At 47.0% G+C, this 24,808-nt stretch overlaps 2 annotated features.

The window, feature by feature from the left end:
• Positions 7,605-8,804: an enhancer, noted in NCBI's record as "P300/CBP strongly-dependent group 1 enhancer chr5:173059934-173061133 (GRCh37/hg19 assembly coordinates)". NCBI's record gives its function as "activates an origin of replication core promoter dependent on BRD2, BRD4, P300/CBP, MED14 and CDK7 cofactors, with strong dependence on P300/CBP, by STARR-seq in HCT116 cells {active_cell/tissue: HCT116}" and the evidence as "EXISTENCE:reporter gene assay evidence [ECO:0000049][PMID:35650434]".
• Positions 12,653-13,474: an enhancer, noted in NCBI's record as "H3K27ac-H3K4me1 hESC enhancer chr5:173055264-173056085 (GRCh37/hg19 assembly coordinates)". NCBI's record gives its function as "activates a minimal SCP1, AML or CMV promoter by ChIP-STARR-seq in primed H9 embryonic stem cells {active_cell/tissue: H9 hESC(primed)}" and the evidence as "EXISTENCE:reporter gene assay evidence [ECO:0000049][PMID:30033119]".

The raw sequence follows: 24,808 nt of genomic DNA, 5'->3' as shown, positions 1-24,808 counted from the left end.
GCAACCTCAGAGCTTAGCAGGTGAAGGAACCAGGGCTTTGTGGAGCAGGAGCACCTGCCACCTGCACAACCCAGAGGGAAAGGACTTCGATCCCCATTTTATTCACAGATGAGAAACCTGAGGCTCCAAGAGGGGAGGTGACTTGCCCAAAGTCACAAAGCCAACAGTGGAGGAGCTGGAGTTCAAATCCCAGTCCATGTGACATCAGAGCCCCCTGGGGAACTTTCCACCAAGCCAAACGGTCTCTTCTCAAGCGGAAACAGAAGAAAGGCAATCATCATGTTGAGAGAACACTATTGGTTCAGAGATCTTCTCTCCCAAAGTCAGCTGCTAGCATGACCAGTGCAGAGCGGCTGATCATCTGTGACAGAGGAGGGGGAACTCACCAGGGTCCTGAGAAGGAGAAGGGGGAGGCAAGGCAACCTTGATAAAAGCGAATGGCTCCCGGGGACAGGACAAGGGCTGCTACAGACATCAGTTCTGATGCACCCCCATGTCCATTCAGTGCCCACGGCATCTCCCAGAAACACGGGGAGTGGCTGTCTGGCTCTGATCTTCACCATCTAGCCCCCACGCCCACCACCTGGCAAGTTTAGCTTGAGTTAACTATTGCAACTGTGAAGTCTTAAATCACAGGGAGATCAGGCATTTGGCAGCTGGGGGTCCCACTACACTTCGTTGTGGTCTCTATGTCTGGCTACCATTAGGTCAATCAGTGCACATGCATGTCATCTGGCCATGGTTTAGTGAGGTGCAGATTTGGAGTGAACATTCGCTGAGTACCTCCTGTATGCGCTGTGCTTTGTTAGGCACAAATGACTGGAATTTGATGTGCTGTGTTCCAATAGAACACAAAAGGCAAGCTGCCCCCAAAGCGCTATCAGAATAGACAGGAGAGAGGTGACCTTCACGTGGGAAGAATGCAGGGCAAGCTTGTGAAGGAGGTGGCCTTGGAGCTGGGATGGCAAAGATGTGTTGGAACTGAGCCACACAGAAATGAGAAGGTTAGGGCATTCTCTGTGGCATAAACTGTGAGCCAAAGGCATGGAACCGATTCTAGCCCCATCAATTCTGCCTCCCTAACACTTCCTGTCTGTCCCGGAAGCCCAGCACATCCCAAATCTCAATTATTCACACAAACCCCTCCTGGTGGTTGCTCTATTCACATACAAATTGTGCTCTTATTTGTTTCACATTTTTCTTTAAGTCAACTCACCAATTTTTATTTTATAGAATTTATGTGAAGAAGAATCTCTCACAACAGTAATTGGAAAATAGGTTGCACTTGCTATAAATAGATGGCCACCATAAAAATAAGAATACCCAAAGCAAAAGAATGCTACTGAAATGCAGCCAGATTTCTGCTGCCCTGGAGAGATGCTGAGTCTGCAGCCTGTTCTCTCTCCGGTAAAGAGAATCATGAGTGTTAAGAGGCATTAGGGACACCCCAGCACCGTCATGAGACTCTCCTTGATCTAATCAGAAGGATAGAGAGAGGACTGAATAAGAGAACTACTTTCTTTAATGCTTTATCTGTGTCCCTGAAGAAACTCTAGATACTACTAGCATTCCCCACCCTCATTTTGGGAAACCGAGTCCCAGCTGAAACCTGAGACCAACTACATGTGTACCTCCATGGTTTCCATATACTGTTACAATCGTGCCCTGGGAGACCTTAAGCTCCATGGCTCATGGTTACCTGAGGGCTGCCATGGTGGGTGAGCATTGAGCATAATAGTAATAACAACGACCAAGAACCGCCACAACAGCAGCATCCACCAAGCACCGTAGCAGGTAGCACTCACTGATTTCCTACTGTACTTCAGACACTGTAATGACACCGTATTACATTATTTCATCGTCACAATTGTGCCATGCCCATTTTTCCAAATGAGAAAACTGAAGAGAGGCACAGAATGGCCAAATATTTGCCCAGGAGCAATTCTGTCCTCCATATGTCCTGAATTCCCATATATGACTTGATTTATTTACTCATTCTTTCATTCGAACATTCATTCAACAGATATGCCTTCTGTTTCCTTTGATTTCATTAGAAACAATACTGATTTCATCTTAAAATGAAACTTGAAGTCCCTGCTGTCTCCAGCTTCCTGCAGGCTTTGACTCTCATCCCTCTGCTCCAGGCCTTCTCAGATGGCTTCCAGTTGCCCTCTGTGAGCTTTGCCATGGTGCGGCTTCCGGATCTCCCATAGGGACCCAGGCACCCATTCCTCTGGATTCTGGGAATGTTGGCTGCTGGTGACTCTTCACTGAGTCCTTCTCTGGGGTTGGCACTAGGCTGAAGAGGACTGCGTGGCCTTAGGTTCTGGCCCCACCCCAGGGGGCAGCCACAATCGCGACTGATCTGCATGGGGGAAAACAATGCAGACCCCTTGCCCCTATTCAAGCCAACTCTATGGGGCCACCCTGGCTCCTGAGCTCCCGGGGGACCAGCTGAGGCCTCAGTGGCAGCTGCGTCACTGTCCAGCTGCTCCCTCTGCCCGGCCTTGCCCCCTATACCCCCTCACAGGTAAGCTTCTCCTGCTTACTCCCCAAAACGCCATCCATCTCAGTCTGCTTCCTGGGAAACTCAACCTAAGGCCCCTTCCGAGGGCGCTCATCACATTCAGAGCTGCCACCTGCTCATCTCCCGGCAGCCCCTTCCCAACTAAGACCCCAGCAGAGGAAGCCTGGGAACCTCAGACCTTCGCAAAAGGCCTTGTGGCACCAAAGCCCCAGGGTCACCTCAACCTCCACAAGCTCAGAAAGCCTTGAAGGTTGTTGGGCTTCTTTATTTATACGTTTTACTACATTAGCTAATTAGCTTTCTTCCCAGGCCCCATTACTGTTCCCTCAAGTGTATCGTGGCCTCAGCTCTAATGACAGGCAGCCACTCAGCCTGGCCAGAGAAGACATTCTCTTTCAGGCCCACAGGGATCAGTCGGGAAGGAGAGAGGAAGGAGAGGGCAGATTGGATTACGGGGTGTCAGGCAAGGGTCACTGCTCCCCCCACCTATTTCTGCCTTCCAGCAAGGACAGGGAGATCAGCATTTCCCTTCTTGCAGTGGGGCGTCCTTCCTGAGCCAAGAGAAGAAGACCCACGTGGTAAGTGGTCTGCCTTTGCTTGATTCTGAAATGGTCCATTCTAAAAAAGAGCCCACATCTGCCCCAGACTTGACCTCTAATATTTCTTAAGTTTAATTGCAAATTACTGTCTCAGCAATTCCATAGGCTTCCCAATCTGGCCTGAGCCCAGAGAAAAAGGCAGGAAACAAACGGAATTAGAACCTGCAGGCTGCAGAAGCAATTTGGGATGTGGCATGAGGCTCACGGTAATCATACTTAGCATGAACCAGGCAGGAGAACTCAGCCTACAGAAGCTCCCAGGCCACCAAGTGCAGCCCCTGCTTAGAACCACAGGAGGAGACAACCAGGCAGTCCAGACAGTGTCTTAACGAAGAAAAGAGAACCAGAGAGAAATCAGTACAATGCAGCCTGGCATGTCATCATCCCCAAAGGCCTGGATACCACAGCTATTTAGTGAGCACCTACTGTGTGCCAGGCCAGCAGCTCTCAGGCTGTTTGGTCTCAGAACTCTTTTACACTCTTAAAAATTATTGAAGACCTTAAAGTACTTTTGCTTCTATTTACTACATGATAAATTAAAGCTGAAGAATTGCACATTTATTTATTCAGTAATTTAGAAAACGTAACAAGTCCATTCCATGTTAACATATAACATTTTTATAAAACTAAACTATATTTTACACAATAAAGACATTTAATAAAAAGTACAGCATTGTGGTACATGATTACAAATCTATTTAATATCAGGCTTACTCGAAGACAGCTGAATCTTCATATCTGCTTCTGCATTCAATCTGGTGCCACATCTTGTTTTGGTGAACACGAATGAAGAAAATCTGGCCTGACAGACATGTAGTTGGAAAAGGGGGAAGTACTTTAATAGTCTTTTTGGATAATTATGGATATTCTTCTTTGAGACTACATGAAAAGTTGACAAGTGGGTAAGCGATGTTGCAATGTAAAATCTGAAATCATGTGAATGAACTCTTTCTACTCCGTCACTTTAAGATGCAGTGGTCTGGCTTGCCCTTTGAATGGGTCTTTTACCCATGCACGATTTGATAACATCACGTATTTTATTCATTTGGAAACTATTGCTTCGCTGCCTCCCCCGCAGATCTTTCAAATATTGACACATTTCATTATACAGTATCAAAAACCATATGCCTCCATATCACCACAGATCTCATGGGAGAAGCGTAATGGGAAGTTGCCACCCTCATAGTTGCAGATAAAATTTTCCAAACTTCTAATTTTCACTTAGCTTGAATTTTATCATTGGCAACAAGTACTGTTAATTGCTTTCTTTGAAGTGCCAGCCTCATTTTGTTACTTTTTGGGAAAACATCTGCCAGAAAACCTATCTAAATAACCATGGGTTGTGCTGTCTGTGTGTGTGTGTGTGTGTGTGTGTGTGTGTGTGTGAATTCTTTCAAGTAAAATGAGTGTTCCATGAAAAAAGTGGCTATTTCAGCTCAAACAATCACATGTGCTTCTCCTTGTCATTACCTTCAACCATTGTGCTTTGGTAGGCAGCCGGAGTGAGAAGTGCTTTATGCATACTTTCCATTTTTTCACACAGATTATTAAAAAGACATGCATTCAAGGGTTGAGAATTTTTTAATTAATAATTTTACTGCTTCATTTGGGAGGCCGAGGCATGTGGATCACTTGAGGTCAGGAGTTCAAGACCAGCCTGGCCAACATGGTGAAACCCTGTCTCTACTAAAAATACAAAAAAAAAAAAAATTAGCTGGGCATGGGTGGCACATGCCTGTAGTCCCAACTACTCAGGAGGCTGAGGCATGAGAATCACTTGAACCCGGGAAGCAGAGGTTGCCGTGAGCCGAGATTGGCCACTCCACAGTCAAGCCTGGGCGACAGAGTGAGACTCCATCTCAAAAAAAAAAACAAAAAATCAACAACAACAACAAAAAAACAAATTTTACTGCTTCATTAAGAGTATTTCTAAGTGAAACTGGCATGTGTTTTAATGCAAGTAGGTGATAAGAAGAATACAATGAGTACCTGTACACTTCGGGGCCACTCCCTTGATTCATACTAAGGTGTAAGCAGTTTTACCACCGCAGGTGTAAATGACAACACAATGAAAAAAGAAATAATATCCCGGAGTTATTATGAAAATAGTTTTCTTTTCTTCTTCTTCTTTTTTTTTTTTTTTTTTTTTTTTTTGAGACAGAGTCTAGCTCTGTCATCCGAGCTGGAGTGCAGTGGCGCGATCTCAGCTCACTGCAAGCTCCACCTCCCGGGTTCACACCATTCTCCTGCCTCAGCCTCCCCAGTAGCTGGGACTACAGGCGCCCGCCACCATGCCCGGCTAATTTTTTTGTATTTTTAGTAGAGACGGGGTTTCACCGTGTTAGCCAGGATGGTCTCGATCCTGACCTCGTGATCTGCCCGCCTCGGCCTCCCAAAGTGCTGGGATTACAGGCTTGAGCCACTGCACCCAGCCCCGAAAATAGTTTTCACTGTGAGGCCCTCTGAAAGGGTTTAGGAGGTCCTCCACGGTTCTGCAGACCACAGTAGGAGAACCATTTAAGTGAGGGGAGTGTAGCAGTCTCTGCACCTCCAGAAACTCCCAATCTGGCTGAGAAGAGAGACCATAAACAGACGTAATTACCATGTCATGTGATGAGGGCCAGTTGGAGCCATGGCAGATAGAGTGATTTGTTTTCCAATGCGGAAGTTAGCAAAGGTTTCACAGTGAATTTTTAAAATGGGTCTTGAGGATTGAGTAGGAGTTCATGCAGAAAGAAAGTGGATCTTTATATTTCTGGTTTCAGAAGGACAGGTCCTAGGAAGGCAAGGCACCAAAAAAATGAAAATAAACAGGACAGTTCATATGATTTTTTTTTTCTTTTGAGATGGAGTCTCATTCTGTCGCCCAGGCTGGAGTGCAGTGGCGTGATCTCTGCTCACTGCAACCTCTGTCTCCCAGGTTCAAGCGATTCTCCTGCCTCAGCCTCCTGAGTAGCTGGGATTACAGGCGCACGCCACCATGCCTAGCTAATTTTCATATTTATAGTAAAGATGAGGTTTCATCATGTTGGCCAGGTTGGTCTTGAACAACTGACTTCAAGTGATCTGTCCCCTTTGGCCTCCCAAAATGCTGAGATTACAGGTGTGAGTCACCTCACCCTGCCCATATGATTAATAAAGAAGAATATTGGCCGCCATCATGGAATACCTATTACATAACCTCACACTTTGCATACATTATATTTACCTCCAAAAACCTATGAAATGCATACAATTATTGTCTTTGTTCAGAGAAGTTAGGAAACTTCCTTAGGGACACAGAGCAAATCCATGAGGAAAATCAAGATTAAAATCAGAATTGGCTTACTCCAAAGCCCACTTTTGTTCTGTTTGCTTACTTCCCTAGAGGAAGCCAAGAGGAAGAGCAGCCTCCTGGGCCACCACTGCTCCAAACTTTAGCTGTCCCCTGATGTTGACCAAATCAAGCCTAGTTCCCCCGACTTGGCATTCAAGGCTTCCCAATGCAACTCCACCTCCCCTTTCTAGCCCCACCTGCTGTGAATTCCCAGTTTAGATACACTGGAATTCTTTCCTCTTACCCAGAGCTATGACCTCCACCAGGAGTCCCTTCCTCCTTTCTCCTTCCATCTTGATTTACTGCTTGAATCCAACCTATCTTTCCAGGCTTACACATCCCTCCTTTCCAATCCTCTCCCCACAATCCCTTTCCTCAGCATTGCTTTTCTGCACTGATGTCATGCATCAAGGTCTGTGCACCAGACTACAGGCTCTATGATGGCTGGGCCCACATGAATCTAAGAATATTATCTCTTGGTTCTTATTCTTGCTTTTTGAGCCTCGGTGTTCCCCTCTGTAAAATGGGGATACTAGCACCCTACCTCATGGGCTTGTGGTGATGATTGAATGCACTAAGGTGTGTGCTGAGAAAACCGCCTGACACATACTGAGTGCCCAATCAATGTGAGTCACTTTTGTTATTATCACAATAATTATTGTTGTTAAATATCACCAGGGGAGGACGAGCCTGTTCCTGCCCCACATCAGTTTCACAGCACACTTTCTCGTAATAAGGGCAGGCTCTGTTAGCACCATTCATTTCAAGCCTGTGAAGAAGCATGAAAATATATTCAGATGTATGTTCCTTTGGTTTGCCTGCAAATAGTTCTTGGTTTTTTTTGTGTTTGTTTTTGCTTTTGTTCTTCCACCCAGGCTGGAATGCAGTGGCTCGATCATAGCTCACTGCAGCCTCCACCTACCAGGCTCAAGCCATCCTTCTACCTCAGCCTCCCAAGTAGCTAGGACCACAGACGCGTGCCACCACAGCTGAGTAAGTTTTTGTATTTTGGGTAGAGAAGGGACTTTGCCATGTTGCCCAGCCCAGGCTGGTCTTGAACTCCTGAGCTCAAGTGATTTGCCTGCCTCGGCCTCCCGAAGTGTTAGGATCACAGGTGTGAGCCACAGCACCCAGTCATGCCTGCAAATAGTTCTATTCCTGGGGGCTTATTTTAGTCGGGTCCCTCTGTTGTGTCCCTAACGAACCCTCCGGACCTGAGAAATGTGGAAATGCCTGAACCAGGCCCTATAGCCAGGTTCTGGGGACAGCTCAGGGCACATGGAGCCCTGATCAAGAATGCAGCGGTGTTGCCATCCTATCAGCTGAGTATCCTTCCGTTTTCAACTTCACACACCCACCCTCCATGGGCTGCTTGGATGAGGTAGCCCATTCAGTCCTGCCGGGCACCCGAAAACAGAAAGATAATCGGCACATTAAACTTTTATCTCCATGGCTGTCACTCTAATAAGCAGACGAGGAAAGCTCCTCTGTCCCCAGGCTCTGACCTGCCTGAAGCAGGCTGATGGGTTGTTGCCAGTGTGCTGGGTTGCTGGGTTTGCTTTTAAGGTTAGCGAACAAAGCACCCCAGAATGCCAGCTGCCCCGGGTTTGGTTACTATGCTCTTGATCCGCGATGAGCTCTTGGCAGTGTGTGGATTCTAGGGAGGACCGGATGTGGTGAGTGGCCTCCAAAGGGCAATTCAAGAAGATCAATCCCATGGAGGCGCCCAGCTCCTGTTTCCAAACACGCTTCCTGGCCTGCAGATACCTTGACGGCAAACTTCATGTAAAGACTTGGTAGAGATGATTCAGCGTTTCCAACATGTTTCATCATCTTTCTAAGGTTGGTACAAAGCTCTAGCCCTATACTGATGCCACCAAGGGGCACCATATCTGTGACCTTGACTAAGCCAAGGTCACCACGGCAGTGATGCCAGCACCTTCTACACGCCACCAATGGGTTCAACATTTCACATGCATTGCTAGTTTCATGCTGAGCACAGCCCTCCGTGGAGGGGGGGCTCTGGATATTTGTTTTACAGATGAGGAGACTGCAGCTCAGAGAGGACAGTTCACTTGTTCATAATATACCTCTTCTGGAACCAGAAACAGAGACCAAGCCCACGGTGAACAGATTCCAGAGTGTGAATTCTTTCATCTTCTGTGTCCCCTGAAGGTTTTATTTGCCATCGTGCTTAGCTGAAAAGAGCTGAGAAAAAGTTAGAGCTAATATTTTGGGAGCATCTCTATCTGCACCTTACTGCTTACCCAGGCATTGCCTTGTTGAATCCTAACAGCAGTCCTGTGAAGTAGGATTATCACCCCCAATTTTCAGGAGCAAACTTGGACGCCTCGCTCAACTTGTCGATTGAATCTCCTAAGTCGATTGAATCTCCTAAGTCCACGAATCTTGAGCGGAGCGGGGATCCAGGCTCAGGTCAGCATCCATGGCCTTCTGCCACATGCACTGTTTTGCTGTTGTGCCTAGGACATTTGCTTCTCCCTGGAGTGCTGAGGTCCCACATAATGAGCAAGATTGAGAGGAAAGGGAAGAAGAAAGGGCCGATACCAAAACCAGCTCAGGGTAGGGGACTGCAATAAAGGGGAAGAAGAGCAGGACATGAAAAGGCTGGTCCCTTCCCCATGGGAACAGGGAATTAGGGGAGAGAGTTTGGTACTATGATCATGACTGTTCTCCCTTCATCAGAATTAGAAGTACCTAGCCCTCCAATTCTAGATCTTCCCAAATTTCAGAACTTTGTTAAAGATGAACATTGTCAGGCTGGGTGCGGTGGCTCATGCCTGTAATCCCAACACTCTGGAAGGCCGAGGCAGGCAGATCACAAGATCAGGAGTTCGAGACCAGCCTGGCCAACATGGTGAAACCCCATCTCGACTAAAAATACAAAAATTAGCTAGGCGTGGTGTCAGGCGCCTGTAATCCCAGCTACTTGGGAGGCTGAGGCAGGAGAATCTCTTGAACCCGAGAGGCAGAGGTTGCAGTGAGCTGAGATCACGCCACTGCACTCCAGCCTGGGCGACAGAGTGAGACTCTGTCTCAAAAAAAAAAAAAAAAAAAAAGATGAACATTGTCTGTGGAGCCTCCCTCCAGCCCATACTGAGCCTGATCTCTGCCAGCATTTAGAGCCTGTGCTTCAATCACTCACAGCGTGTACTGTGGTCTGTCTCAGGTGTCTTGGGGTAGAAAATTCCCATTCGATAGGCGGTCTCCATTGAGATAGGAAGTTGCTAAGAGGGAGGACATTGTCCTACTCATTCCTTTCTTGTTCCTCACAGAACTCAGAAGACTAGTGAAAATAGATATGGGCCCAAATAAATACTTGTATTGTATTGTACTTGTATTGTACAAAAAACTGTTCCCATTTTATACAGAAAAACAGAGGCAATGGCAACTCCTATCAATTAGGTCAGTGGCTCTGGGCTTATCCGATTTTCCTTTAACATCAAATCTCCTGATCACTACTAAATCACAAATCAAAAGCCAAGTAAATCTGGATTGATTTTAAAAGGAGGAGAAGGCAGAGAGAAAGAGAGGGAGGAAGGAGAGAGAAGGAATGAAGAGGAAGATGAGGTGGGAGGAAGGGGAGGAAGAAGAATAGGAGGAGGGAAGAGTTGCGGTGAGGGATGAGGAAGAGAGTGGAGAAGATGAGGACTGGGAGGAGGAGAGGGGAGGAGGAAGATGGGGAAGAGATCGTGAGATGGAAGAGGAAGAAGGAGGAGATAAGGAGGAGGGGGGTAGGAGATGAGGAGGAGGGGGTAGGAGATGAGGAGGAGGGGGGTAGGAGATGAGGAGGAGGGGGTAGGAGATGAGGAGGAGGGGGATAGGAGATGAGGAGGAGGAGGGGGGTAGGAGATGAGGAGGAGAAGGGGGGTAGGATATGAGGAGGAGAAGGGGGGTAGGAGATGAGGAGGAGAAGGGGGGTAGGAGATGAGGAGGAGGAGGGGGGTAGGAGATGAGGAGGAGAAGGGGGGTAGGAGATGAGGAGGAGGAGGGGGGTAGGAGATGAAGGGAGGGAGGAGGGAGGACTTGAGGAGAAAAAGAAGGGGGCAGTGGGGGAGAGGAGGAGAGGAAGGAGAGGAGGATTTTGCTCTGGAATGGGGCACAGCTTAAAACTGAAAGTGGGTACAAAATCGGATTGGAGACAGAAATAGCACTCTTTTCTCCAACATGAATTCTATGTTTCCTAATCTAAAAAGGGATTGTTCTGCCACGCAAACCTCCTCTTCTGTGCCTGCCTCACCATGATGCAGGTATATTGACTTCATCAAATGCGGAAGCCTAACTCGCTGTAGAATGAACTACATCAGAAACTCTGCCAGGTTAATCTTGACAGAAATCTGGCGACAAGGTCAAATCTTGAAGCAAAACAAAACAGACAGCCCAGGAATGTGCAGCCCAGCCATCCCTCACTTGGCACAGTGCAGGCAGTCACTGTGAGGGGCTTCCGGTGTGTGGGTGGGAGTGCTTTACTTCCAGGCAATGCCAAACAAGCAGGGTGCTTATCCTTGGGCCCCCAGTGCCCACCACAGTGCCTGACACAGAAGAAGCTCCACAAACATGTCATCTGTTCTCATTTTTGTGTTTACAAACACAGTAAACAGACCACTACATTTAACAACTTTCGTTATGTCAAGATTCGCCAACGAGTCTCAATACTAGCCAGACAGACTTTCTCCACAACATCGTTTTCATATTGATTTATTTTGGCAGTTATTGTTAATAATGAATTTCATATATGATACAGGCATTCTGGGAATGCATCAGTGCCCTTCAAAATGGTGTTTTATGATTCTGATCTTAGCTGAGCCATTCATCTCTGTACCGTCGGATCCAGTTTGGCCACTCCTGGATCTGGAACATAAGCCCCATGCTTTGTTTCTGTCTTTTCTGTCACTTGTCATGGTTTAGAATTATGTATTTGTAGGTTGATTTGTTCTGTGTCTGTTCACCCCCCTAGAAATACAGATGTCCATGAGGGCCAGAATCATTTCTGCTTTGGGCGCCACAGAGTCCTCCATCTTTAGTATATAACCCTGTGCTGATATAATGTATGGCACATCATAGAAGCTTGACAAACATTTACTGAGTGAATGTATGAGGCTGGATTCAATGCCTCTTAACTTCTTAGCTCCCTTTCAATGGGGAGAATCTCAAGCTCCATAACACAGGGAGCTCTTGGCTGTCTGACCCCAAGGGTGCAGTGCTTTGTGAACTGGCTGGTCATGCTATCACAGTCTTAGGACTCCAGATTCCACCCCTAGGGTGGCTGCAGGGCCTATGGCACAGCTTGGACCAGGGGCATCTTGGCTGAGAGGGTGGACTCAGCCTGGGGGGATGGAGGACCGGCCCACCATGGAGCTCTCCTGATACTGCCCCCATCAGGCCAAGCCTGGGAAGAGCATCTCTGACTCCAGTAGGTCCCTGGCTGCTATAGCAGCATGTGCTCCATGCCAGGGCAGGTGTGTGGGGAGCAGCAGGGGGTCTACTCCTCCATGCAGGGGTAACCCTGAGGTTGGGGGAGACATGCACTTCTGAGAAGGTGGGCCACACATAATAATGCTGAGTTAGGTATTGCTGCATCACTGTTCTGCAAGACCTGCCCTGTCATGCAGAGTTGCAGCATGTGCAAGGCAAAGAGGGGGCCAGATCCAGCCTCCAAGGAGAGGTTGGTGAGAGCCAGTGACACCCAGCACACATTCTGGGCTCCAGCCCCAATCCTCCAGGCCGACTTCCTGCTTTTCCTGTTCCCAACACTGTGAAATAACCTCTCCAGTGGCTCCCCAGAATTCTTAGAATGCAACCTGAACTCCCGCAAGGCCTCCCCCTGCAGCCATCCTCGTCCCCGCTGCCCCTCGGTCAGGCCAGGCTTGTTCCCATCTCCAAGCCTTTGCTATTGTTCCCTACCTTGGGACCCTCTTCCTGCCTTGTAGGTCTAAGTGTACCCAGCTCCTTCTTGTTATTTAGGTCTTAGCTCAAATGTCACCTCCCAAGAGAGGCCTCCTCTGATCATCAACTTATCTGCACCCAAAATGATTTTGATCTTGATTTTGCATGTTTGCTTTTTTGTTTGTTGCTTGCTTGCTGGCTAAGCTCCAAGTACTGAAACTGTGCTACCTTTTACTTACTCTTCTTGCCCTACCCCCTAGCACAGGGTAGCACGTGGAAGGCATTAGATAAGTATTTGTATGAATGAGTGAGTGAGTGAAGGCTCAGTTAAATAGCGAGGGCCAACACAGCTTCCCAGGGTCCATTCAATACCAGGCCTGTCCAGCAATGAGACTAATTCCAAGATGCATGGGGACTGAGCATTGACTATATGACAAGCACTTTACATGTAAGACTTTATTTAATCTGCCAGCCCCCCCAGTGAGCTACCACCACGGGGAATCCCATTTTACAGATAACTCACTCAAGGTCTCTTGGCTAAGACATCACAGAGCTGGGACTCCAACCTCATTCCGCCTGTCCCTGGAGACTGAGCGAGGGCTCAAATGCCTCTCTCTCCTGCGACCCCTGCACATCACAAGATCCATCTGTAAGTCCATGCCCGAACAGGGCAAAGGCAGGAAAAAGGGCTCCCTGAATGCAGCTGGTCCTATCCCTTTGTCCAACAGGTATCTGCCAGCCCCTTGCTCTGTGTGGGTCCCGAGGCCAAGGGCTGGAACACAGACAGCAACAAGGCTGAGCCTTACCCTCCTGAGCTCAGGGACCCATATCACATTGAGCCACACTGCAGTGGTCTTCTAGAACATTTTTCCTTAATTAAGGGCAATTAAAATTCCTTGGGTTTTGAGGATTTCTTAAAATTCCTTGGGGGCGTGGACGATGTCTGAATTCAGGGGAGACACATGAGATGGGGGGAGGAAAGCCAGCTGGCTAGGTAGACTGGCCTCCCAGGGCTTGCCCCAGTTTGAAGTCACTTCCTCTCCCAAATTCCAACTCTCCAGCTTTCCGGCCCCTAGCTCTGAACCCAGGCTGAGGGCCAGAGGGCACTGGTGTGGGGAAATGTGCCTGCTCAGCATTTTGTAGCAGGTCTGGGAGTAAAGGCATCAGGGCTTCTGCTGAGACACTGGAATTTTTCAGTTTAAAGCCCGAAGTTCACTCTTTCTTTCTCTCTCCCTTTCATTCATTCATTCCTGGCAAACTGCGCATTCTCTCCTCCTCCCACTGCGAATCCCATTGTCATTCCAGCAGCATTTCAACCCACTGCAGGCGAAGTGGAGGCTCTCTCTCTTCCAGATTTCTCTGTCGAATTGCTGGCAAGGACAAAGCCGTTAGGAGCAAGATTCGGTAACTAGCTTTTTAATTTCATGGCTGGAGGTTGTCAGGACAGTACAGAGAAAATTGCCAACGATTCAGAGAGCGGCCCATGAATCTGGGGCAGAGCAGGAGAGAACAAGGGAGCGCTTCAGCTGGGGGTGAGGTGTTGGCAGCCACTTGGATGAGAAAGTTCTCTTCTTCCGAATTTCTTTGGTTCAGATCCGCGTTCATTTAAAAAGATCAATTCAGCAATTTTTCACCCTTCCTCAATAAAGCATTTTAGACAGCGGAGAAAGAAAAGGAGAAGGGGCCCTCTCGGGATCTTTCTGTAGGACGGAACGAGCATCAGTTGGTCATCAGTTGTTATGAAATAGGGCTGTTAATTTGAGAGAGAATCGTCCTATTTCCAGTATATTTCTGCAGACTTGGATTATAAAACAACCCTACCTCCAGATTACAACCCCAATATCAGGTTCAAAAGTTCCACATTCCAACCCCCAAGCTCAGCTACAGAGTTGCTGTGTGGCCGTGGGTTAGTGGCTCCCTGTCTCTGAACTCTGCAAGTTGAATGTTGAATAAAACGGTCCCTAATATTCTTTCCCACCTCTATGCTTCTCTGTTTTTACCAAGTTCACAAGGAATTTCTTCGTATCTAAAGGCTGGGGTTTTTAGGTCTCTTGGGCAGAACCTCACATGGGTCTGAATGAAGAGGAATGAACTGTAACCTCCAAAGAGCTGAGTGACAGAGTGACATTAGGAAGGGTCTCAAGATGCCACTTTACCTTGTTATGCCAACTGCGATTCCACAGCTGGATATACTCATGCAAGCTAACACTTGACAATAATAACATGGTAAACTTGTACTGGGGGTCTTGTTTTATCATTCCTGGAACTCTCTCAAATACATTCTCTTTCAAATGCCTTCCTCATATCCACCCTAAAAATAAGGTCTTTTAGTCACTCTATTCTACAGATAAGGGAAGTGAGGCTCACATGCCCAAAAGGTGACCAAGTCTGACCAGAAGACCCTTGCTTGCACTGGGCTAAGATATACAAGGCCTGCCCCTGGAGAAGCAAGTTTGAGAAAAGCAAGGGAAGGCAGGTGCATCTTGCCAGTTTCTGCCCTCCCTTCCAGCTTCACATTGACCTCTAACTGGCAGTACTGCTCCAAGGCTCTTAGTTGCAAGCAACATAAATGTATTCTGGGTGATTTAAGCTGAAAGGGAATTCATTGAAAGATTCTAGGTAGCTCACGGAATTGACAGGAAGACTGAAGAACTAGGCTCAGGAAATAGGTAAGAAAAAGGGCGGTCTCGCAGCCAGAATCACAAACAAAACTCTTGCTCCAGAACCAGTCCAGTGACATCATTGCTGCAGCTGCTACAAACACAGGGCCCCTGTCATTGCAGCTGGAGCACTGTCCCTTCTGGCCATGGCTGTGCACAGAGCTGCAAAGGAGGCTGGGAAAGTGGGTATCTGGTATTTTCTCTACCCATAGGAAGGCTCTGCCACCTAACAAGCCTCAGGGGGTACAGAGTTCCCCCCAAATAGGAAGGGCATTGAGAGTTGAGATGCCAGGTAACCAAATCTCAGGCAAATGTGCACGTATCAATCAGGTTAGGCTCAGTAATGCTGTAGTAACAAAAACATCTTAAATCTGAGGGGCTTAAAAACAACCAAGGGTTATTTCTGGGTCACGCTTACATGTCCAGCAAGGGGCTCCATTCCAGGACTTTCTTAACTCAGACCTCAGGCTGCTGGAGCCGCCTGATCTCAAATATTTCCCACAGTCACCATGGCATTGGGAAGGGGTGATTAGAGCAGCAATTACAGGCTCCCAACCAGAAGTGACATATGTCACTTCCACGCATGGCTCACTGGCCAGACCTAGTCACATGGCCCTGCCTTGGGGCCAGCAAGTGCCGTCTTGCCTCAGATCTGGAGGGCAGAGAGCTGGGGAAATCTGGCAAGTAGTGTTGACAATGCCCAGGGTCCACTGAATGGGGCCTGCCAATCAAAGCCCACCTGGAAAGGGAACAGAAGACAGAGCACTGAAATGGAGGTAGGAGAGCAGAGTTTCATTCCTGGTTGAGCCCCTGAGAACTGTACATGTATCTAGCAGCACCTAGGGGCTAGAGGAAACCCTTACTTCTGGGTGTGGCCCCAGAAGACACTCTGCTCAAACTGCAAGTGGCAGCAGCAGATGTTGGAAGCACAGCCCACGAATGAAGCACTGGAGGGCCCAGAGTAAGGGGAGCTGGGAGCCAAGCCCAGCCTCTTGGAGCTCAGGCAGGCAGCCTTTTTCCTGCCTACAGGCTCCTGAGCCACTGTCTCCTAAGGAAGATGGGTGCTTCACTGTAGCCCCAGGCTCCCTCTGGAAATAAATCCTCTTCTTGTAACTGTCTGACAGGCAGCAGGAGCCAGGATGCCTAGAATATCCACAGGCTTCTTGGGCCCACACTTTGTTTTGGTTGCAGAGAGATGACAGGCCAGGGTGTGTCCCCAAGAAGATCCGGGGGAAGCGAGGCACTGTGAGCTGGATAGTGAGTGGGTGGGAGGCTGACTATGGGTCCCTTGGGACATGGAATGTCCTCTAAGAACAAGGTTGAAAGTACAATTTGCCACTTGTTTATTTGTTTTTAATGTGGCTGAAACATCAGTCCCTCCTCTGATACCTTCAGAAAGTCAATCAGTACCAAATAATCCAGGTGCTGAGATTCGTATAAAAGCCCCTAAATTTAAAAGAATACAGTAGAGGCAGGACTTCAATGCAGAGGTGAAGAATTTGAAGAAATCATGGAGGGGGTCAGGATTGGCCTTCTGCAGGACCTAGGATGGCCATGGGGAGAGGTAGGTTGGGAGGCAGTGAGCAGGCTGAGCCAGATCTCAAGGAGCAGTGATGCCCTAGCCAACACCCGCCCCATGAGATGATCCCTGCAGCCCCCTCTCTGGTCTCCCTGCCTCCAGTGTCACCCCATCCACTCACACTTCCGTGCTGTCCCAGAAGAATCTTCGTAAATTTTGTATACTATGCTGCTCCTGCCCTATTGAAAAGCATTGTCTTTACTCCAAGGTCAAATTCAATCTCTGAAATTGCAGCATTTGAGGTCCCAGGCTACTTCATCACCCTATCTCAAACACATGCTCTGCAACCTCCACGCAGCTCATGGGACCAGCCCCACCTTTTCAGAATATACTGATACCCTTCAAGCCTCTGAGCTTTTGCTCAAACTCTTCCTTCTTCCTGGGGCCCTGAGCCACTCCTTCCTCCACCTACTTACCCGGGAAAGGTTCTTAGTTGTAACAGAAATGAATTCTGGCAACTTTAAGCAGCAAAGGTATGCAGGATAGAATATGAGTGACTCTCAAGATCTCTGGGAAGGCCAGAGATTCAGGCTGAGAGACTACAGGGATAGGATCCACACCCACATCACACCACTGGAGATCCTGTAGAGACGTCACTACCCTGATGCTGAGACAGACACGACATCAGATGCCTCCCATGCTGCCCACTCAGCTATTACACATCTCTGTGGGACTTCGCCCTGGCCCCTGGGAAGGCTGGCTGCATTCAACAACAGCCACCTGTGCCCTGAGAAAGCTTTCTGAACTCAGGAGTCATAAAATCTATACGCATGTCCCTCCTCACCCCGGCATGGCCCCTCCCCTCTACAGCAAATCACCACAGCTGAGTCCCTTTTCTTTCTAGAATCATCATGGGAGCATGGTCTAGAGCCTGGCCCTTACCAGGCATTGTCTCATATAATTCTCACAGCATCCCTGTGATGTAGGTTCTATTATTGTCCTCATGTCACACACAAGGAAAGAGGCTCCAAGAAGAGAGAGAACCTCTCCTGGTGGTGGGGCCAGGATTCTACCCCAGACCTATCTCTGAAGGCCACAATTCTCCTGATATGTTATAGCAGGAGGAACCCAGGCTTTAGGTATCAGGCAGTCTTGTTTGAACCCTGGCTTCAACACCAGGCAACTGATGTCCCTTCTCTGCCCCTTAGTCTTCTCATCTGTAAAATGGGAATAACATCTGTTTGCCTTGCAGAGCTTTTGTCTCAACTAGAGGTGATGGGAGTAAGGAGGGTAAGGACCAGGTATGTAGAAGGTGCGTAATAAATATTACTTCCCTTCCCCTGGCTGGCACCATCTGCTGTTCTCCTCTCCCCATCCCCTGAATCTCTAGGATTTCAGCTGCATTTTCAGAAACATCCAGCACATGCTGGGGCCTGCTCAACCCTCGGAAATGAAAGGGATTCCCACGAGCATCAGCTCAGATACTTCTGCTTGCCTCTGACACAGCCTGGCCACAGAGAGGTGGTACCTAAGCCACACCCAGCCACACCTGAGCCACACCCAGACACCCAGAGCTAGGCTTCCCTGTGCTCTCTTGGCACAGGATGTGGGAAGTCCTTGGATGAGATTGGATGGCAGGAGAGCTATTCCCCTGGGCCTCACGGTCCAGAGTCCTCAGATTTAGATATTCTCTCCAAATAACGCTAAACATGCAATTGCAGATAAATATTGGCAGGAGCAAAGGAGACATTTGTCCGCAGCTTTAAACTTTGTCCCATCATTATGCCCCAGGGCGTGCAGCACACGTGAATGTATACACATAATACATATTGGCTGGGTGCGGTGGCTCACGTCTGTAATCCTAGTACTTTGGGAGGGTGAGGCAGGTGGACCACGAGGTCAGGAGATCAAGACCATCCTGGCCAATATAGTGAAACCTTGTCTCTACTAAAAATACAAAAATTAGCCAGGTGTGGTGGTGTGTGCCTGTAGTCCCAGCTACTCAGGAGGCTGAAGCAGGAGAATCATTTGAACCCGGGAGGTGGAGGTTGCAGTGAGCCGAGATTGTGCCACTGCACTCCAGCCTGGGCGACAGAGTGAGACTCCATCTCAAAAAAAAAAAAAAAAAAAAAAAAAAAAAAAATATATATATATATATATATATATATATATTCTTCATTATCTTAGAAGTAGCACAATCACTCATCACACTGTATTGTATGCGTGGCAGCAGTGGAATTGTTAGATTGTTCAATGTTGTCTCTCACAGATCTACTACTCTTCTGATCACCCTGTTTCAGCTCCTTTCTTTTACAGGCAAGAGGTGCAAAGGCCAGAGAGGATACATTGCCAACAAAGGTCGTAGAGCTTGACTTTTGCATTCAAGTAAATCTTTACCAAAGGTATTCAGTTTTAGGCAGAAGTGGCCAGCCAGAAACAAGCAGGCAGGATGGGAGTAGGAGTTGAGGAGAAAATGATTTCGAGAAACCCACGTGCCGAAAATAATCTCTCTTTCTGCTCCGTTGACGGATCTGATGTTTCTACCCAGAGAAACAACAGTTCCCCACCCTGGCCCACTCTCAGAACCCCCTTGAAAACTTGCTTAAAAATGTAAACGGCTATGGCCTGTCTCTACAGATCCATTCTGTGGGTTTGGCAGGATGACTGAGCACCTGTATGTTTTGACGACGTCCTCAGGGAATTTCAACAAACACCAAAGTTAAAGAAGGACTGACCTAAGCTGTCTCAAAGAGTTATAGAGTAAACTAGGTTGAGTCACTCATAGAAATTATCTGGGCCGGGTGTGGTGGCTTACGCCTGTAATCCCAGCACTTTGGGAGGCCAAGGCGGGTGGATCATGAGGTCAGGAGTTCAAGACCAGCCTGGCCAAGATGGTGAAACCCCGTCTCTACTAAAAATACAAAATATTAGCCGGGCGTGGTGGCACGCGCCTGTAATCCCAGCTACTCCAGAGGCTGAGGCAGAGAATTGCTTAAACCTGGAGGGGCGGAGCTTGCAGTGAGCCGAGATCACACCACTGCCCTCCAGCCTGGGCGACAGGGCGAGACTCCGTCGCAAAAAAAAAAAAAAAAAGAAAAAAGAAAAAAAAAAGAAATCATCTGAAGGCACAGGGCCCTGGGGAAGAAATTTGATCCACTCATGCATTTATTCACTCATTAGCTTTCATATTTGGTCATTCCAAAAGTGATGGCGTTAGTGGAGGAATGTGCTCAGGGTTGTATCAGGCAGGATAGGCTAGGTTACGCCACAGTCAAAAACAACTCCAAATCTCAGTGGCTTAAAACAAAAGGTCTCTTTCTCACTCATGTTACATGTCGGGTTATCTGGGGCCTCTGCTCCACATCACCTCACTTTGAGGCCCAGGATGATAGATTAGCCATCATCTCAAATTTTCCTGGTTACCACGGCAGGTGGAAAGAGAGCTCTGGGAGGTCTTATGTTGGTATGAAAATGGCCCGGCCTAGAAGTGACACAAGTCACTTCTGCTCACAACTCTTTGGCCGGAACTAGTAACATGGCCCCAAATAACCCTCAGGGTGTTGGTTCTTGAGTGCTGAACCTCCCTGCAGGAAGAAGGAAGGATGCTACAGCAGGAAGGAGTGGTGCTTCTATCAGCAAGGCAAAGCTTTCCCAGAAACCCTCAGTTTCTCTCTCCTCAGCCAGAACTGGGCCCTACGGTCACTCTTAGCAACAAGGAAATCACAGATGTATATACTTTAGCCAGATGTGCTGCAGCCCCAGACAAAATTGGATCCTGTTTATAAATTAGGGGAAATGGATATTGGGTAGGCAACTAGAAGTAACTGGGGGCAGAGGAAGTGTTGCTAGAGAACACCAAGTGTGAAGACAGAGGTAGAGGATGGATCCAGACCCAGCAGCAGTAGCATGCAGGATTTGGCCATGAACTTGGCTTCACTGAGTCCACCACTTTAGAGACTGGCTGAGTCAATCCCTACGTCATCATAAGATTGAAACTATCAAACTAATACATTTATTAGTGTTAACTCTAGATACACATTAGCCAAGACTTCTGCCCAATAATAGGCTACAATTAAATACATCGGGTTGTTGTATCAAGTCCACATTATTAGTTATTAGCTATTGAGGGCCTACTCTGTGTCAGGTTCTACACAGATATTGTCTCTAATTTTTGTGACAGTTCTTCAAGGCAGGTATTACTATCCCCACTTTACAGATGAGCAAATGGAGGCTCAGACTGGCTAATGGATTGCCCTAGGTCACACAGCCAATAAGCAGAGGGGCTGGATCCAAACGTAACCCAAAACCCAAACGTCTCACCTTTTTCTCTGTATTGTATCAGGTTTCCTCTTTCACTATACATCCTCTATTACTAATAATTTGACATGACAATGTGTTAAAAACACTGTAGCATGAAATCTTGTCCAAGATGCGTATTTGGTTGGAGAGATGCTAGTAGTGTTGCTTGGTGCTGGGGATTCCTGTGTATTAAAGCCCTGTTTTTGTTGTTTTTGTTTTTGTTTGTTTTTTTTTGAGACGGAGTCTCGCTCTGTCGCCCAGGCTGGAGTGCAGTGGCGCGATCTCAGCTCACTGCCAACTCCGCCTCCCAGGTTCACGCCATTCTCCTGCCTCAGCCTCCTGAGTAGCTGGGACTACAGGCACCCGCCGCCACACCCGGCTAATTTTTTGTATTTTTGGTAGAGACGGGGTTTCACTGTGTTAGCCAGGATGGTCTCGATCTCCTGACCTCATGATCCGCCTGCCTCAGCCTCCCAAAGTGCTGGGATTACAGGCGTGAGCCACTGCGCCCGGCCCCTGTTTTTCTTCTTAATGCGTATCAGATCCAATCTATCATTAGAGATGCTGGAAAACATCAAAAGGAAACAAACAACAACAACAAAAAAGCAGGGATCAGATGGTGCAGATGTAGCCAAAATGCTATAGACAAGGCAATCTCAAGAAACTCTGGATGCTGTTAATTAAGAAATGAACAGCTGTCCAGACTAAGAATTGGCAAGACTCCTTGGATGAATAAACATAGGTAAGAAGAAAAAGAGCCACCTCATGATCACAAAGAAGGACCAATAACTAGTCTACCCCAAGCAGCTTTGGTGTCTAAATGCAGCCCTGGGCTCAGTCTTAGGGCTCTGGAATGCTCTCGCTTCAGGACCAGGATCTTCGATTAGAAGGTCGGAAGGTTACCAAGGCAACTCCCAGATTATCTTCTAACCTTGGGCCTGCTCCAAGCCCCAGACTCTTAGTCCAGTTTAGTCATATATTATGGACAGATTCCTAGATTGTACTTGACCCCTCTGAATATTGACTATATTCTGACATTTGGTCCAGGGCATTATCAAAAGTCTTAAATGGCCTTATCCTATACCTAGAAGAGTAAATTTCCCATTCACTCATCCTTTATTGTTTTTCATTCATCCGTCATATATTTGTGGAGAGCCTGATGTCCCAGGCACTGTTCTTGGTGCTAGGGATGCAATGATGGTTGAAATGGACAATCCCTGCCTTTGTGGAATTTAGAGGCTAAGAGGAGAAATAGAAGTTAATTAAATCACCTCCTGACCCAAATGTAAATTCATGATGATAATATGTTATTAAACATTTGCTAAAGACCAGGAATTGTGCTAAAATGGATTGCCGAAATGGCACTTAAGCCTCTCCACTGTCCTGGGGAAACTAAGGTTCAGAGGGATGATCCAGCTTTGCCAGCTGGGATTCCAATCCAGTGTCACCTGATGCAAAAAGTCCATACATGTGACTACTTTCTTATATCTCCCTTGGCAAATGATAGATCTCATTTCTTTTCCAGTTTCAGTGAGGTCTAGATTTGGGCTTGGGGAAGTTCTACTTTTTCATGTGGCCTTCAACAAAAAATATTCCAGCACCTAAAATGCGTAATTCTTTGGGGTCGGGCAACTTATTACAGACAAGTTTTAATACTGAGAAGCAACAACAATTTGCTACGTGAAGGATACCTGAAAACCAGATTACTACCTAAGCCAAAGTTAAAACAATGTTCCGCACAGCCATTTCCGAATGTTTTGGATTATTAATACAGCAATGGCGCTCTCTGATGACTGCTGGTGTGTATTACATGTCTCTTGAAGGGAAGAATACATTTTGGATGTTGTGGAGGCCTCCTATTCCACGGTTTGGATAAATAATAAGCCTCCCTTCAGCTTGATCATCTTCACTCCTCATCCCCTTCCCCTTTTATCCCTCATCATTTACTTTGATTGCAGAGGGAAGGTCATGGATACAGAATGCAGCCTTTTGTCAATGTTCAGAGACCCAGCAACCAAGACACAGGTCCCCATGACAGATAGTGAAATTGTCACAGTGTGAACCAAGTGCAGACAATCTCCAGGATCACTTACCTATTTAAGTCATGACAGATTCATCCATCATCTCCTGCTAGAATGCTCCTTCTTTTCTGAAGATTATGGCTACACATAATCCTACCCACGCACTCTGTGATGCTATCCCACAGCTTTAGGAAACAGACAGGAATTTATACATTCTCTTTGAGCTAAGAACTATCGTGCTAAGAGCTGGAGACACAGTGATGAACAAGTCGTGGTCCCCATTCTAAATATTACACCCTATCAGGGGACTCAGGTGGCCAATTTGTCTGTAAATCATTCACTTCCAATTATAATAATTGCTACAAAAAATGAGGCTTTGAGTTTCTGTAGCATGGAGGAAATATCTCATTGGATCTAGGGGTCAGAAGAATTTTCCCTGAGGAAGGAGAGTAAGATGTGGGGTGCCAAAAATGGAGAAGGGACTAGTCAGAGTGATCAAGGGCTTGCAGAAGAAAGAACCTGGGGCTGAGGCAGCCTGAACTGGGCTTCTCCTGGGGTTAAAGGTGAGTGATCAGTGTAGAGTCAACCAGTAGGAACAGACATTAGGTAATCTCAAGGATGGTGAGCTATTAAGAGAGAATGTTTGTCATTAACTGACCCATTGTGAATGATTGAGCTGGTGTTAGAGGATGAGTATAATCCAACACCTGAATGTTTCTTTTGAGGGTTAATTTAAACTCTCTTGGACAGGTGTGGTGGCTCACACCTGTAATCCCAGCACTTTGGGAGGCTGAGGCGGGTAGATCACTTGAGGTCAGGAATTCAAGACCAGCCTGGCCAACATGGTGAAACCCCCATCTCTACTAAAAATACTAAAATTAGCCAGGTATGGTGGCATGCGCCTGTAATCCCAGCTACTCGGGAGGCTGAGGCAGGAGAATTGCTTGAACCCAGGAGGTGGAGGCTGCAGTGAGCCAAGATTGCACCACTGCACTCCAGCCTGGGCGATAGAGTGAGACTCTGTCTCAAAAAAAAAAAAGAAAAAAAAATTAAACTGTCTTGAGTACTAAATATTGGTGTGGAGAACATCCTGGATCTTTGCCAATTCTGCATCTTCGCAGGAGCCAAGGATATTGCAGAATTTGCTATTTACATCCCCTCTGCTGCTTGTGTAAGATGAGGAAACAACAATAGCAGACATAATTGCTGAGGTTGGGAGGGGGAGCTGAGCTAACAATAGGCAAAAGATGAAGGGAAGAGAGGATAATGGTGGCAGCTATAGGATTCCAATGGTGAATTGTGGCTACTTAAAAAAATCAGGATATAAAGCCTTACCTATTGTGGGATACCAACTAGCTCTCAGGATACCTCAGGCTAAAATGCAAGATTTAGATCCTCAAAACCTGGGTTCAAATCCTACTTTTCTACCTCTAGGTATGTGATTAGGTTAACAAACTTTCTTCTGCCTCCATTTCTACGTCTGTAAATAGCAATAATAGTAGTATGTATCTGCTTTTTTAAATTATCGTGAAGAAGTGCGTGGAAAGTGCATAGCATCACGCCTGACACTTTTCAATTATTCAATATTGGCTTATGATTGACAATATTTAATATTTGGGAGGAAATCCACACACATATAAGACAGACTTAAGGAAAACTTTTATTTTCTTCTTCACACTTTTCCGTTATTTTCCAATTTTCTAAAATGAGTATGCATTGCTATTAAAACCAAAAGGAGGGAAACTCACAAATTTCTGAACAATAGAAGTTTGACTGTTCCACTGTTTCCGGAATTTCCCGGAACATGTTGTTCAAGAAGGACGTGGGAGTGCATGCTGAAGCACAGATTGCTAGGTCTCGACCCGTAAATACTGGATAAAAATCTTTAAGAAATAATTCTGGTAATCTATACTTTTAATCAGCTCCACAGATGACTGTTATAATCGGGCACTGCTGGGAC

The sequence above is a fragment of the Homo sapiens genome, chromosome 5 (assembly GCF_000001405.40).
Source record: "Homo sapiens chromosome 5, GRCh38.p14 Primary Assembly".
Classification (NCBI taxonomy): Eukaryota; Metazoa; Chordata; class Mammalia; order Primates; family Hominidae; genus Homo; species Homo sapiens.
The sequence above is the reverse complement of the archived record's forward strand: the minus strand, read 5'-3'. Positions and strand labels throughout refer to the sequence as shown.